General features: G+C 42.1%; 3 non-coding genes across 3 annotated transcripts, besides 1 other annotated feature; 1 reads left to right on the top strand and 2 right to left on the bottom strand.

Moving 5' to 3' along the window:
* Positions 1–180: 180 nt before the first annotated feature.
* Positions 181–254, bottom strand: TRI-AAT7-1 (tRNA-Ile (anticodon AAT) 7-1). The gene has a single exon. It is a non-coding gene; the product is annotated as a tRNA-Ile (tRNA).
* Positions 1860–2361: an enhancer, noted in NCBI's record as "H3K4me1 hESC enhancer chr6:26778725-26779226 (GRCh37/hg19 assembly coordinates)". NCBI's record gives its function as "activates a minimal SCP1, AML or CMV promoter by ChIP-STARR-seq in primed H9 embryonic stem cells {active_cell/tissue: H9 hESC(primed)}" and the evidence as "EXISTENCE:reporter gene assay evidence [ECO:0000049][PMID:30033119]".
* On the top strand, positions 9723–9795 carry TRA-AGC9-1 (tRNA-Ala (anticodon AGC) 9-1). Its single transcript has one exon. It is a non-coding gene; the product is annotated as a tRNA-Ala (tRNA).
* A 4763-nt stretch (positions 9796–14558) lies between these two features.
* On the bottom strand, positions 14559–14631 carry TRM-CAT4-1 (tRNA-Met (anticodon CAT) 4-1). The gene has a single exon. It is a non-coding gene; the product is annotated as a tRNA-Met (tRNA).
* Positions 14632–17113: the final 2482 nt, after the last annotated feature.

Consider the following 17113-nt stretch of genomic DNA (forward strand, 5'->3'; position numbering starts at 1 on the left):
GTATCACTGCCCACAGTTGCTACTGTGAGACAAGCATTAGAAGTCTGTGTAGATTGCTGGGTTCACACACATTTACATTCTTTTTCTCTTGTGAGCTTTGACGTGGCTACACATAATTGTTACTGTGAAATAAACATTAGAAAAGCCTGTGGCCCGTGAAATAAACATTAGAAAAGCCTGTGGCCCGTACGGGGATCGAACCCGCGACCTTGGCGTTATTAGCACCACGCTCTGACCAACTGAGCTAACCGGCCCCGCCGGCGGAACGGACCCTACCTCTCTTGAGAAGTTTAAAGGCGAACGTTATTCCAATCACCAAAGAAACTTTTCTGAAGTTCTTGGAGTTGGAAAGAACCTACGATCTTTGCTAACTTGGTTACGATCCTCGGCAAATTTCTTCTAACCTGGAAATTTCAGTTAAAATACAATTCTGCGGAAGGAAAGTTCAAATGTCACCTGCTTCAGTGTTTCACGACAAAGGGTTTCAGTGACCACCCTTTTAAACGCAACGCCATCACCGTCCGCCGGTACTGTGGCCTGTCCCTATCACTCCTTTCTACTTTGCTTCCGTAGCTTCTGAGCGACCCGTGAAGAAATTGACGGAAAACGGAAGGAATTGCCGCCAGTTCCTTTCCACGGGCCGTCAAGGCCAGTATAAGTCCCCACCCAGGCTCCTCTGCTCGTAACTTCTAGCACGATTCCCACTGAATTCGCCCATGTTTCCCAGAAGTGAGTATTTGATCCCTACCCCACCCCATTTTTAGAAAACTCAGGAAAACGCTCTCGTATTTCTATCTGAAAAGGACACTTTAGAGAAATACGTTCCATTACAGTCTTTGTGTTCGCATTGTATTCCTTCTCGATGAAACAGGTATAAGTCCATTGGTATTTTACGCACGACAAGACAACTTTGCAGCCCGACTCATGACCTTTAGATTAAGAAACACTCTCCGGGAGCTCTGCTGATCGCTGGGTCTTACGAGGTTGATGCCTTCTGTCCCAAAGAGAACTATTTCCCTGCGTGTTTCCGCCTGGCTGCCCACTTCTCCAGTAGAGAAACAGCTGTTCCTCGGGATTCATTTTTGGAAGTTCTTTGGGTCCTGGGTAATGGGGCCGCATCCTGCAGCGTCGACAAGGTGGTTGAATACGCAGGAACACCCACAGTACCCAGGGACTAATAAATAGCTCAATAGATACATTTCGAATAACTGAATAAAGGAAATCTCAACCAACCCCCTTGCCGTATTACAGGTGGTCCAGCTCTCTGCCTAGACTATTGTGCTAATGTCCTGTTCCTTCTCCCGGCTTTTGAACTAGATTCTCACCTCTCTCCAATCCATCTTTCGCAGGGCTGGCCTGTCTTTCCGCCTCACTTCTGAAATTCTATCCATTGCAGCCTCTATGCAAACCGACTCTGGTTAATACTTCAGTCGGTATGGCTCCCCTCTTCCGCACTTTGCACTGCGAGAAATGCCCTTCCTTGAGGCAGCTGGAGGCCTCCTCCTCCTGAGAGCTTAATTGTGGACACAGTCTTGAGTAGAGGCGAAAAGGAAAGAAGGCTGGGAGATAATGGGGGAAAAGCACACCTTTGGTCTGGTTTGAAAGCTGGCGCCCGAAAAGGGGAGCGAAAGGACAAGAAAAAAAAACACGCTCCGAAAGTGTCTGAGATTGCTGCGGCCATAAAGCAGAGCACTAACCGCGGTACTGATAAGGGAGGGGAGCAGGGCTCCGCCGCCGGGCCTGTGCCCATGGATCTAGGTGAGGACGGGCACTCCTTCCTCCGCGGCCAAATGTTGCATTTCCCAAGACCACCCTGGCCCGCCACGCCCCCATCCTGTGCCTATAAAAACTCCCGAGACCCTAGCGGGCACGGACACAAGCGGCTGGACGTGAAGAGGAACACACCGGCGGGAGAACACAGAACACCCACCCTCTCTTTAGTCACCCTGGAGGCCTCGGAGAAGGCGGTTTCGGTGATCCGTGAAGAGACCCCGAGTCTGTTACATCCCGGAGAATGACAAGAGAGCGAGTACCTGGGTGACGTTTACGTTCTGGGATTTCGGGAGATGCGGTTTTCTGCACGCCAGGGGCCAAGCCTGAGACGTAGATGGACGGCAGGGATAGGAGCTCTCTCCGCGCCACAAACGCCCCTGCTCATACCTGGGTTCCTTGATTTTCCTGCCTATATAACCGAGCCTCCCATGGCCGGGCTCTGAGCTCTCATTCTGCGGACTGGGACAAAGGGGTTAACTGTGATGAGCTTTGTATAACCCCAGGATTCTGCACTTGCCCAAGGGCGAGGCGCAAATCAAAAACTACGCACAACTGAACACCGAGATCAGGTGAGTCCTGAGTGTCTCACGACATAAAATCCTTACGATTTTAACAAGAGTTGTATTTGTGCTAGCACTGTTAACTGACAAACGCATGCCAGATCCCATCTGTCTTTAAAGCTCAATGTGTGACGTTAGACACGTCGTTTTGCTCTTCAACTTTCTTATTTGGAAAAAAAAAAAAAAAACAAAAAAAAACAAGTGTTCTAGATTTGCAGAGGACCTTTTCGGAGCTAAGTTCCAGTAGCTATACTGTAAGTTGATTTCTTGGGCAGTTCTGTTGGTGAGGAAAGAGGGCAAATTGAGAAATGAACAAACACAGAAGTTGCAAAAGCCCTGTGACTTACAGCACAGGACGAGTCTACAAACCCTGCCATACCACACTAAGCTCAAATTGTTTTAACACCAGCTTACTCAGACCCGATGATCCAAGATAAGACCAAAGCCAAACGGATCCAGCAACTCTGCGCAGATCTTCATGTTCCAGCAGCTAAGTTCCACTGAATAAACCTATGATTCGCCTAGTTTAGAAATTCTGGCCGTGCGCGGTGGCTCACGTCTGTAATCCCAGCACTTTCGGAGGCCGAGGCGGGCGGATCACAAGGTCAGGAGACCGAGACCATCCTGGCTAACACGGTGAAACTCCGTCTCTACTAAAGATACAAAAAAAATTAGCCGGGCGTGGTGGCGGGCGCCTGTAGTCCCAGCTACTCGGGAGGCTGAGGCAGGAGAATGGCGTGAACTCGGGAGGCGGAGCTTGCAGTGAGCCGAGATCGCGCCACTGCACTCTAGCCGGGACGACAGAGCAAGACTCCGTCTCAAAAAAAAAAAAAAAAAAAAAAAAAGAAAAGAAAAGAAAAGAAAAGAAAAAGAAAAAGAAATTCTGTCCAGTCCCTCCTGAGAAGGACCTTACTAACCTTCCCCCTAAAAGTGTCCTATGAATAGCTCCAGTCCCCAGACCCTTTAAATTCTGGTCTCTGACTCACCCTTGTTTTAGGCAGTACTGGGACTCCATAGAGGTACGGCTCTTTGCTCAGCAAGTTTAATAAATCCAAGGTAGTAGAATCAATTTGTTTTCTTGGTCGTCTTGTTTGGAGGGAGTGGGTCTTCTCAATGTTGGTTCTGATCCCTGCCTATGGATATTTATGAATAAATAGATATTTGCACTCCATCATCATGTGGAGCTACAAGTGTTAAATTTAACGATCTAATTACCTCTAAAATAACCACTAAATTCAACAATCTGAAACTTATCTAATTAGTTCCACATCCTGGAATGAAGGGATTTAATAGGTAATAACAGGTCTCAGTCTCTAATGGAGACATAATCACACAGACACCAGATGAAAGATGAGTAAAGTGGAAAGCAATAGGTAGAACAATAATTTGCTTTATGCTATGATTTTTGGAGCGAAGCAAGAAAATTAATCAAGGAAACAAAGAAGAAATCCAAGACTTAGTAGTGTTGGATTTGCATTTTTGTCATATGACACTACTTGTATTTTACAGGATTCACTTGGTCTCCATCTGACCTCCTCAGAGTAGACTGCTCTTTCCCAATCACTCCTGCAATTACCCTAGGAGATGTGTGATCCTAAAGTAAGGGGGAGTTTTAAATTTACTTCTAAGTACACCTGCATGATGCCATTAGTCAGGGCAGGGTAGCTGAACAAACTCAGCTCTGAATCCTTTAAGCAGAGGTAATAATTGCTGACACTATTTAATCGGATTCTGAACATGATGTGCCACTTTTCCTTTTGCGTCTGAAGTGACACCAGCCATTTTCACAGTTTCTTCCACTAGGAGGTCCTGGGAGAAAAGTGATAAAGGTAGATTCAAGAATGGTTAGTTTGATAAGAGAAATATAAAGGCAAGTATCTTTTTCACTCAGTTCACCTTGGTTCTAAGAGTGGGTCTATATAAAGAAATGGAGCATGCTTCTGCTAATTAATGTTCAGGCAGAAAAAGTCATGAATTCCACTACAAACCCATGTCCCTTCTTCCGAAGACATGACAAATTGATGAGGGTATGCTTTCTTCTGTCGGTAAAACGAAGTCTGGGATATAGATTGCAATATTAGCAGTGCCATAGTGCAGAATTTCTCATAATTAACACTTTTCACTTGAATACATAAGAAAATAGAATTGGAATGTAAAGTTAATAAATTAATCATGTTATAAACAATATGAACATAAAAGCAAAAATTGCAAGGTCTTTGGCATGCAGTCTTTGATTTGGGGAATGCATTTTTTCTATTGTTATCAGGAAGAAAGAACAGAAACAGTTCATATTCACATGGACTAGACAAAAGTATGCATTTATGTTCTTACTCCAGAGGTATATCAAGTCCCCCAATTTTTCCTAATCTAGTCCAAAGAGAATTGAACTGTCTGCACCAACAGCAAAACATTGGTACACTGTATTGATAGTATCATTTAAATCTTCGATGAGCAAGAAGTGTCAAGTAAGTTGCAGATTTTGTTAAGCCCTGCATGCTCCAGAGGGTGGGAGAGAAACACAGAAACCATTCATCGACCTGGTTCGTGAATGAAAGTTTTTAGGATCTGTGAAATTCTGAGACATTTCCTCCAAAGTAAAGTCTCATTGTTGTATCTCGAAGCTCCCGTCACTTAGAAGGGAGCACTGTGCTCACCATGTTTCTCTGAGCTGTGAAAGCGGCGCGTTCCACACTTGGAGACCCTTCTCTGACACATTTACCAACAGATACTGAATTAAAATATTAACAAATTGAATCCAGCATTATCTGTAAAGCATAATGCACCATGAGTTAGGGGAGATTGCCTCGGGAATAAAAAATTAGTTAGGCATTGAAAAGTCAATTAAATGTAATATACCACATTAACAAAACAAAAAATACATGTAATCATCTCACTAGATGCAGAAGAAATATTGGACCAAATTTGCCATTCATTCGTGGTGTTTAAAAAATATCCCAGTAAGCTAAGAATAGAAGGAAAATTCCTCAGATGAATAATGGGCGTTTAAGAAAGTCCTACAACTAGCAATAGAGTTAATAGTGGAAGAATAAATATGTACCCTTTAATATTGGAGAAAAGTGCAAAATATCTGTCCTTACTACTTCTACATTTTACTGAAAGTCCTAGCTAGTGTCAGAAAGTAAGGAACGCATGAATGAAGAATAAATGGCATACTCACTTTAGAATAAGAAAAATATATTCGTTTGCAAGCAACATGATCAGATACACAAAAAATCCTAGTGTATCCACAAAAATAAGCATTATAAGTAAATGCAGCTATGTCACAGATTACAGTATACAAAAATTAATTGTATTTCTATGTACTAGCATCAAAAAAATGGAAAATTAAATTACCACTTTCAATAGGTTTAAAACAAATGAAATATTTAGAGATAAACTTGTCAGTGTGCACAGGACTTGTACCTAGGAATCTACAAAAGATGGCTGAGAAAAACTCAGGAAAGCTTGACTAATTGGTGTTGTTTGACATATTTACAGATTGAAAAAGGTAATATTATTAAGATATCATTTTTTTCCCTCTGAGTTGATCTATAGATTTACTACAATCCCAACAAATATCCCAGCAGGAGATTTTTGTTTTGTTTGTTTTGTTTTCTTTTCTTTTTGTTTGTTTGTTTTTACAGAAATTGACAAGCTTATTCTGTAGGACCTAGAGTAACCTAAATAATTAGGAAAAGAAAAACAAAGTTAGAGGACTTACACCAGGTGATGTCAAGACTTATTATAAAGCTAAGGTAATCAAAATAATGTGGTATTGTCTCAAGGATACTTACCCAGATTGACGGAATAGAACAGATAGTCCAGAAACAGACCAACGTATGTGGTCAACTGATTTATGACAGAGGTAAAATGTTATTTAATGAGTTTTTTAAACAAATGGTCCCAGGCAACTGAGTATGGAAAAAATGATTCCCTACCCTTAACTCACATCCTATACAACAATTAAATCAAAATGGTTTATATACGTAAAGCTTCACGTTAAAGTTATCAAACTTGTAGAAGAAAAGAAGTCTGCACATATCTGATGTAGGCAAAGCTTTTTCAGAAGGAACCAGAAAAGCATGAGCCCTTACAAAAAAAGATACACTGGATTTCATAAAATATTAAAATGCTTTTTCTTTGAAAGACAATATTAAGAAAATGAAAAGGCAAGACATAGACTTGAAAAGAAATGTAATATATGTTATATGCACACATAGTTGTTATACAACATATGTGTTATGGATACACATATAACAAAGGACTTTTATGGAGAATATAGAACACATTTTAGAACTCAGTGATACAAACACTCAGTAAGGATAAGGGCAAAAAACTTGAGCAGGCATTTCACAAAATAAGATGCTTATATGGCCAATAAGGCACACTAAAAGATGTTCAACAACATTAATCAGTACAAAAATGCAAATTAAATCTATCAAGGATTAATAGGTAACAACAGATCTCAACTCCCCTGAATGGAGAAACAATTAGTAACACAGATACTAGATAAGTTACTTGAAGGATCAATCGATAAAAAGATACTTGGGCTTATTTCCAGGTTTGTGTTCTTAAAAAGTGATGCATTCAACAGAGCATTTGAGGTAACTGCTAATTAGGGACGGTACTTCCTTCTCTTTCATCTAATGGGAGAGTGAAATCAGATTAGAACTAGTGCTTTCCTAATGAGATCTTTTCTCTCTTTCTCAGGATCCCGACTCAGATTGAAAAAGCAGAGGATGGTCACTGCCTTCCAGGTCTGAGGCTGTCTCCCAGAAACTTCATTCCTCGCTTCGCCTTGGTAGGGAAGTTCCCGGAGGTGTTTGAAAAGCTGGAAACTTAAGTGGGACATGGAACGATATTTGTGTCCCGGTTATCAAAACAGGCAGAAAAGACAAATGCGGTGTGGGGGAATTGGCTCAAGCGGTAGAGCGCTTGCTTAGCATGCAAGAGGTAGCAGGATCGACGCCTGCACTCTCCAGCTTCTTTTAATCCCTAGGCTACCAATGGTATCTGGTAAATACTTTCAGCGGATTTACCGCTCTTTATTTGACTCAGTTTCATCTTGTTATGTACATTTTTTTTTTAAGGAAATTATACATAGCATTCCATGCAAAAGCAAAAAAGGAAGCGATTAGTCACAAGTGAGTTTTGCCAATACAGGTTTTGGGGCTTCAGCTCGAAGTTAATACAATGTATTTTTGTGGGGAAATCAAACTTTAGCCTTTTGGGTACAAAATATGAGGAACAGCCTGGAAATAGTGTCAGGAGGCAAAAGCAGGAGACTTGAATGTGCCAACCTTTTGCTTTTATTCACATTGACAACACATGGTCAGGTAGAGGATGAAAACGTGTCTTCTACCAGATTATCTGAGAGTTGGCCAGGCTCCCACCTTCACTTATACTCCTTCCTTACCTCTCTCCTGTGTAGGTAAGAGAGGTAAGGAGAGAGGTAAGGAAGGAGTATAAGTGAAGGTGGGAGCTAGCATATTAACTCTAGTGGTCGGATACACTCTCACTAAGAAAAGTGACATTTATTCCTTCTATTCATCTCTCTGAAAGCTCGTTCTGACAAAAATGTGCTCAAAATAAATGGGGACCTAGGTCTTCCTCTAATTTCCAAGATGAACCAAAACGTAAAAAAATGTATTTTTGAAATTGCAACACTATCCCCTATTTAAAGAAACTACATGAGGCGCTGTATTAACAACACATATGTTGACTAGCTCAACTGGCCCAAGCAGAGCTCAGAATGCTGGAGAGAGTGGTCTTTGGATAGATGACTCCAGGAAGCTCTTGTAGGTCCCTGGGACGTGCCCCTCTTTCCATCCTTCTTTCTTTCCCATCACTCAAATCTCTCTCTGACACCATTTGACTTCTCAGCATTGCCCTTTGTTAATCGTAATAGAAAGACAATGTTATTGATTACATGTTTTTCTATTTTATCTTCTTATTCATAAATGATCTCAAAAATGAATGTCATAAATAATAAACATGTTGTTGAATTTTTGTCCCATAGGAGCAGCCTCTTTCCTTCTCAGGATGTGCACTCCTAATAAACTGGGACCGTGAAGGAGGGACCTGAAGCTGCCCCAAACCACCTGCAGTTCCATGAAGGCCATGCCTCCACCCACTAATCACTCTGAAAGTAGTGCCCCTCCACTCTTCCCCAACCACATTTCCTTTTCAGGCAAAAACATTTCTATGGGTTTGTTAGACCCTAGCTTCTAATCCTTTCTTCAGTCTTTACTGATCTGAAGCCACTCTCTCCTTTGAGGCTTCTAAATTATCTGTATAGCCTTTCTCCATTCAGCAAATTTTCATCAGGCAAAAATCCTACTTGACGCTAGTTATACTCAGAGTAAAATAACTATGTTCCTGTCTTAAATGAGAATTCTTCACAGGTGGAAAGCAGATTTGGAATCCACTACAACTCCAAGGCAGTGGAGCTAATGTAGCCTCCCCTGGGCTACAGGGGAAGCCTTCTTCTGTGGGCCCGGGAATTGAAGAACTAGACAGGCATAAGAAGGACAAGTGTGGTGCCCAATGGAGCAAGAGAAGGGGGGAGGAAGGTGACAGGGAAGGGAAATGGCAGGAGAAGCACCTACACAGCAGACACGGTATAGCCTGCATCTGTTTTTCCTTTTGGCTGAGAGATCCCTGAGCTCTGTGGTGACAATTTTCCATAATTTTTCATATAAAAAATGAAGATTATAAACTATTTCTAGGCATTTTACCTGCATTACTATTAATATGTGTACAGCATCTAAAATAGGGTCTAGACGGCAATTGCACAGTACTATTACTTGCTATTGTTGTGGCACTTTCTATGTGGATCACTGGCCTCATCCACTGTGCCTGGTGCTGAAGAAGTGCTTCAGGAATGAATCCACAGATTGAGATGAAAATTCTCAAGCTTTCTCTTTCTCAACTCCTCCAAGGTTCTCCATCACTTTCTGAGTCCTACAGGAGGAAAGTGCTATTGAAGATGCGGCGCGTATGGCGTGAAGTTCTGGGGCTGGGAGAAGCTGCCCCACTACTTCCGGGCGGCCTTGCCTGCAGGGAGCAGGTGAGGATCACAGCTCTAGAGCGGGCTGCAATAGCTGTGCCCGCAAGCCAGGCAGTTCCGGGTGGTGCTTCTCCAACTGGAACGTGCTCTCTACTTCCGAGAGATGAAGAAGGCGAAATTGAGAAGTGAGGAGAGAGGTCTCCCTCATGACCTATTTTGGAAATCCGTATTCTTCACACTCTCAGGCTCGTAGAACTTTGCCCAAGGCAGTATCTGAGAAGCTCCGCCCTCAATCTTGTCCTGCCAGGGATTTGGCGGCCCAAAGTACCGGCAGGCTCCTGATAACCAGGAAAATGGGTGGGGGGTGGTGTATCCTCAGTGGGGAATTAGCTCAGGCGGTAGAGCGCTCGCTTAGCATGCGAGAGGTAGCGGGATCGACGCCCGCATTCTCCAGTTCCTTGTCCGGTTTATGTCTCTTGGTTTGTATACCCGCTTCTTTCTCCTGTTGACAACGGCGGTGCTTCTTACCTGGGAGAAGATCAGAGGAACCTGCCCCCTCCCCCGATCTCGTGTTTTACTGCTCCCCATGTAAGAGTCTTGTTGCCCCTGCTTCCATCCTCCCATGTTTTCCACTCCTGCCACAGGTTTGGCACTTCTAGCTACTCAGGTCTCAATGCAAATTTCCCGTCTTTAGACAAGTACAGCTAAAAGTGATGCCCACACGATCTCTCAATTCCTACTACATCTTCACAAATATCGTCTCCTCCAGAAAGTATGTCTTTAAGTTACTGGTTTGTTTTTCTCTCCCCTAGAGTGGGAGCTTCCTGAGTACCGAAACGCTGTCTATGTACACTGTGTTCAACTCGCTTCATCCCCATGCGTAGAGTTAAGGTTCTGTAAAATACGGTTACTGCCTTGAACAGATAAGGAAACAGGGAGATCAAAGACAGAGCAATACTTAAAAACATTATCCTGCCACATTTCTCAAATCTTAATAATAGCATTCACTAATGTTTTTGGTTTTTCTTTGTGCTTTCTCCATATCCCCTTATTATTATTATTATTTTACATTTGGCTGACCATTTTACACTTCTTTTTCAAATGACCAATCAGATTTTGCAATTTTCTAGTTAATTCCTGTGTTTCCTTCACCATTCTATTTTCTTTTTTTTTTTCTTTTTCTTTTTTTTTTTCGGGCTTCTTCTTCTTCTTCTTCTTCTTCTTCTTCTTCTTCTTCTTCTTCTTCTTCTTCTTCCTTCTTATATTTAATGCACTGATTTCTTCTAATGTTTTGTAACTTGGGTATTAAAAGGTGTAATTTAAAATGAGAAAGCAGTTTCTACAGAGTCCTTAGAAATATGTCATTTTAAGTCCCCATTTTCATTATATTCTAAGGAGCTCGAAGATATACTTTTGATTCTTTTCTAAACTGTGCATTCGAGAGTTAATCTCTTCTTGTTTACTTTTACGTTCATTCTTTCAATGTTATTTTCTAATTTTTGTGTATCATTTTGTTTATCAACACATAAATATGTACATTCACATAAGTATACGAGTTATATATACATGTATTTATGAATGGCAGCTGAACCACACATTAGTGCTAATATTGGTGACTAAAAGTTGGAGAACCAGACATTATGTACCTCATAAAGCGAAGCAATGGAAAGTGCACAAGCCCACCTATCAAATTGTCTTGTTAAAAGATTTGAAGCTGAATCTAAGTGAGCCTCTACTTGTAACTACCAGTTTACAAGAAATAGAGTAGGTGAAGAAACATGTCAAGGGGCAGGAAATAGATACAATGAAATAAATACAACATAGAGGTGTTTCTAAGGATAAAAGGCCCAGTTCCTTCAACAACTAACTGGCATTAACTCTTTATGATACTATAATGGTAAATATATGTCATTATACATTTGTTAAAAAAAAAAAAAAACCCAGGATGTATAACACAAAGAGCAAACTGTAATGTAAACTGTGGACTTCAGTTAACAATAATGTATTAGTAATTACTGGTTTACCAGTTGTAACAAGTGTACCATACTGATGCAAGATGTTAATAATAGGGAAAATTGTAAGAGAGGGAGAGTGATGGAGTTTATGGAAATTCTATCTATTCTGGTCAATTTTTCTTTAAACCCAGAACTTCTCTAAAAAATAATGTCTATCAATTTTAAAAAATAATATCCATAAAAGAAAGACCAGGGACCTTTTATGGATGAAAAGAGTCTTAAAAAACATAAAAATCTGTAGATTTTACTTTATTATTTATAATCAGCCATTAAGAGAAATTTTTTTTGTATGGGTGACAATCAGAAAAAAAAGTTAATATTAGATCATATTTATGATCTATTACCAATTTGTTAACAACAAGTACATACACACATGCAAACATGGCCCTAAAATTTCCTAGTTCTCTCAAGCTATTGATTTCATCATTCTCTCTGCTGCTGAGTTCAAGAAAGTGAAATGCGTAATGGGTATCTCTCCTTTCCCACCTTCCTTCCAGTTCACAACCTAGTGCTGTCCACTTGCATGGGATGTTTCTTTTCCATCACAATGCTCTGAGATAACTAAGTCAAGGGAAGTTTGCGCAGCCCTCCAGACCCTCCAGATTTCAAAGGAAAGCCCACCGCTGCTGGTCTGGGGGAGCTGATGGCCTATTCATGGATGAGATGGACTAAGGACAGTGGGAAGCACAATGGACCAACAGCATTGTTGGAGGGGACTGCGTGAGGAAGCAGGAGCCTAAACAACACTCTCCAGATACTGCGTGAACACTGTCTCCAGAGGGGTCTTGTAGCATCAAAAATTAAAGCTAAATGTTGATTTCTTTCTGGTAATTATTTTGTTCAGCAACCTGGAAAAACGAACAAAAATTATCTCATTCCCTTTCCTATTTAAAGCCTGAAATATTTAATTAAAATGATAAAACTTAAAAAAAGTGCTTATTAGGCCAGGCTCGGTGGGAGGCCGAGGCGGGGGCGGGGCGAATCACTGGAGGCCAGGAGTTTGAGACCAGCCTGGCCAACATGGCGAAACCCCGTCTCTACTAAAAATACAAAATTAGCTGGACGTGGTAGCGCACGCCTGTAATCCCAGCTACTCGGGAGGCTGAGGCAGGAGAATCGCTTGAACCTGGAAGGTGGAGGTTACAGTGGATCGACATCGCACCACTGCACTCTCAAAAAAAAAAAAAAAAAAAAAAAAAGTCTTTATTGAAAGTTTCAAACTTAAAAGTGCTCTCACATATAAATAAAATCATTTTCTCTATATACATGGTTTTTGCAAGTGTACATGTCTAGACACCCTAGGAATGGTGGTGCCGTGGTGTGAACGTGGAGCCTGGAATGGCCAGCCCCAAAACCTCCTCCTCATCAACTGTTGACTCGTCAACAGTCAGTCAGTAATCAAAACTTCCTTAAAATACAAAGAGCCGCAGAACATTCCGGGATATCTGTGCTACTTAATCTGGCAGTTCCTACTGTGTCTTGCCCCCGGTGTGACGTGCTCTCTTCCATGAAATTAATAACTGCAAACTGTAATGGGAACAATGCAATTGATTGTCTCCGCACTCTTGCCCAAAGCGTTCTCTGAGATGTTTGGTAGTTATTTGGGTCCTTACTTGACCTTCGTGGCCTTAAAACAAAGGGAACATGGCATTTGTGAATCTGAAAGAATTGTGATAATTTTCTCATTTCCTCCTGGCTGTGTGCATCACCCTGAGTTTGCGGAGGGATCAGCCCTTTTTCAGAGCCCCCTCACGTCCTGAGTATCATCCTCAGAATGTGGGGCTTGGGCTCAATTTGAAGAGGGTGTGAGGGAGAGCCAAAATGCAGGGATTGTCCCACAGTGCAGTCCTGCTTTGTAAACCCCTTCCTCTGACTAGCTTGATTTTAGTCTCTGAGAATGGATGGGGTGGGATGGCTTTTCAGTACTTTCTGCTGAGACATTTTTGTATATTCATTTCTCTCTCAAGGAGCCTCTGTAACAAAAGAGAAAAAACTGTCTCGGGTTCTGTGTGTGGCACATGAGTTTGAAGGATTTCTGAGACTATTGTTCAGGACTGGCGTTACAGATGAAATATAGATTCAGGACCAGTGACGGTGGGATCCTTGGCAGGCGGACATAACGCCTCGTTAAGGACAGACTGCCCACCACTCTCTTTCTTTCTTTCTCTCTTTCCGAAATCATTTTCTATAAATTCCACTGGGTATCAGAACCTTCCTTAGGCTGACTGGCGCTTCGCAGTCTCCTCTCCAAGCCCGGATCTATTCCCCAAAATTCTCTCGTTCATGCTTCTAGCTTCTCTTCTTAGCTTCTCTAGGTTCGCGTCATCGGCTTTCCTTGTTTCCCAGGTTGAATCCCCAGTTCCAAGCGGCTCCTGTAACAGGGAGTGGGAGCCCACCCTCCCACTCGCCGTGTAGCACTCTGCATCTCTGAGAAGAAAGTGACCACCCCAGCCCAGCACAGATTTTCTTCGTCTTTGAGCACCTGCTCGGAGTTCCCGCCCCTCGTCGCTCCTTGGTTTTCCCTCATTGCCTACATAGAGTCTGTTGGATGTCGGTCAAGGTATCCCCAGCCCCTGCCGTGGGAACCGTTTGGGGAAAAACAGACCTGATTTATTTATACTTCAAAGATGCCCAATGATTCCCTGTCGTCTGTGTACCATAAAAATAAAAACAGATAAAAATAAGAAGATCAATGTATTCGACATCTACACCCAGGCGTACAGCTCTCAGATGATCAACTGGGAAGCGACTGTTGCCCACCCAGAGGGAAGAAAGGGGCAAAGCCGGAGGATGAGGACGCGGACCCTGCAGGCCGCTGCCTCCCAAGTGAGCGGGTTACAAATTCCGCTAACCCCAGCCCGCCACCCCGCTATTGGCTATTTGAGGCATGTGGGGGATTTTTCCGGACTAGAAGTCTTGTGTTCCACCTGGTTTTTCGGGACCACTCAACATTCCTGAGCTCCATCCCTGCCAAGGTGGAGCCAGCACAGGACTGCAGGCGGAGTCTCCAGACTCATCCGGAAACAGCCACTGCGCGGAGCCGGGAGCGCGTGTCAAACGAGCACCCACAGAAGCTCTGGGCCCGACACGGTTCCACTTGCTTGATATTTCAGAAAAGAAGGAATTATACCTCAGCTGTAAAGGGAATACGGGTTACAGCTATCACAAGTGCCGGGAAGGTAAGCGTTCACTTGCAAAAGCTGCCCTCTCTGAGGCTCGAACTCAGGACCTTCAGATTATGAGACTGACGCGCTGCCCGCTGCGCTAAGAGGGCGACGAAGTGCATCAACGCGCCAGCTTCCACAGGAATTTCCTAATTTCTTTCCCCAGGCGGGTTATTTTGGGACTTCAGTTTTCTTCGCCCAAGGTCGCTAGTTTTCCAAGATTATTTCCAATAGGCACGCGTAGGCTCCTTTTTAGCCCATCGGAAGAACCTCACAATCGGAAGCCATAGTGTACTGAACAATTATGCCTGACCTCATTCTCTATTGATCTGGATCTTCGTCCCCTCAGAGATATAAGGCAATAATTACTGTCCACAGTCTCCTTAGTTGGAATAGCGGGCTCTCACTAAATGCTAGTTGAATGAATGAAAAGCTCCCAAACATGCCTGCAGTTTACACTTACCTCTCTTAATTTAAATTTGCATTTCCACTTATGTCACCTGAGATAGTCCCCTCAAAATATCACCAACTGATTTTATGATGAGTCTTCATGTTTTCTTCACCTCTATGTTGCAAATACCCTATTAAAGATTTTATTCCCGTAATTTCATTTAGTCCAATTTATTTATTTATTTATTTGCCATAAATCTATACATCATTATCCCCATCTTACTGATGAAACTGAGGCTCAGCAGAACTAAATCCACAGCTGATAAGGGGCAAAACCAGATCTTGAAAGCAGATTTTGTTTTCCAAAAAGCGTGCTGCCCTCTTTCTCCCTCTAGATCATGTAATCTCCCCTTTTCCTCTCCACACCACCACACTCATTTGTTAAGCAAATAGCTATAGAATTTTAGATTCGTTGGTCCATTCAACAAACTTTAATTCACCACCTGCCATGTACCCGGCATTTATGCTCTAGATTTCCAAGGCATCCTTGGCCCTTTATCCCTCACATCCCTACAAACACCTTAAATCATTAGTTCTCGAAGTGCGGTGCCCAGACCCACCACATAATTCTCGAGGACACATTCCATTTCAGGTACTGTGCTACCCGAAGGCTTTGAGGATTCAGAGGAAATTGAGCCATCCCTGACCTCAGGAGCTGACAGGACAAACTGTCCTATCTGGTCCGGTTCCTATACTCTCAAACTTCCGGATTCTTATAAATGCATCTTCCTAAATATTTTATTTTGATACTGTAACTCCCATTCTGCACTAGTTTGCTAGGGCTGCCATAATAAATATCATAGACTGAGTGCCTTAACCAACAGAAAATTTTCTCAGTTCTGGAGGCTAGAAGGGTTGTTAGCTTTGGTTTCTCCTGAGGCCTCTCTCCTTGGCTCGCAGATGGTCACTTACCTTCTTGCTATATTCTCCCACGGTCTCTCTCTCTACACATGTTTCCATCTTTTCTTATAAGAACTCCTATTGGGAGTTAGGGTTTCGACATGAATTTGATGACAGGTGGGGCGGGACAAAATTCCACCATGACAGGCTCAAAGTTGTTTACATTTTCACCCTCATATTTGCAGTAGACTTTGTTACTGGAAAACACTACTTGCTTTTTTTTTTTTTTAACACGTATTTTAAAGCCCCTTAATTAAACAGACCATATACCTTTCCTTATCTAGGAATTCCCATTCCAGTGCCTGGTCCACACATCCATTATTTCTCCTCATCTCCATTCCTCAAGGCCCATTCTTGATTCTTTCATTCTTATTTGAAAGAATGTAGCATGGAGGAATGTAGCATACTAGTTTTTCCCTCGGAATTGCATGACTCATTGTCATGCAAATTACGCAGTCTCAGGTGTTCCTTTTAGCAACACAAAGTAGACTAAGGTGTGTACATTTTTGTACTTGTCAAATGTGGTTAGAATACCAAATGAGGTACTGCCTCACAGATCCCTGAGATGTCATTACTTGGCATAACAAAATCATAATATAGATATCATAATAATGCATAAGCAGACAGGAAAAAACCATAATAATAACAAAACTCATTAAGGGATAGCCACGTAAGTTTATCAGTTAGTTCTCTCTAAACTCTGTAATATGAATGTGGCCAATCTCTGGGATTTAATAATACAAAAAACATGTTTTGGTCTCCCAGTGTCATTTTAATCTTATTCAGTAGGATATATTCTTTCCCTATCTCCATATGAAGACATACACAGTTTTATGCCTCATCCCAGGCAATACAGTCTCAGTCTCAAAGTTAAGATGCTGAGCTCCATGTAACACTCTAAAATTTAAACTTGACATAAAGATCAGATCTCTTCCTTTACCTACTGGGCCTGTTGAGTCAGCTAAAACTATTTGGATAGTTTTCTAAGGAAAATGTTTCATCTCTCTTTTCTTACCCTAACATTCTACCATTTGTTAACCACTGTTCTGAGACTTCCGTGTTTCAATCGTGGTGGAAGATGAGTTAAAGCCAGGGAGGGGTGGTGGGGAGAATAATAAAGTTCTTACTTTTAAATGGTGTTGTCATTAGCCAGTGTCATGCTTTCCATTCAGCTGTTTGAATACGAATAATTTTTTTAATACGATCCATGATTGTGGATTCTCGTGTGCATTTCCCTTGATG

This window comes from Homo sapiens, chromosome 6 (assembly GCF_000001405.40).
Source record: "Homo sapiens chromosome 6, GRCh38.p14 Primary Assembly".
Classification (NCBI taxonomy): Eukaryota; Metazoa; Chordata; class Mammalia; order Primates; family Hominidae; genus Homo; species Homo sapiens.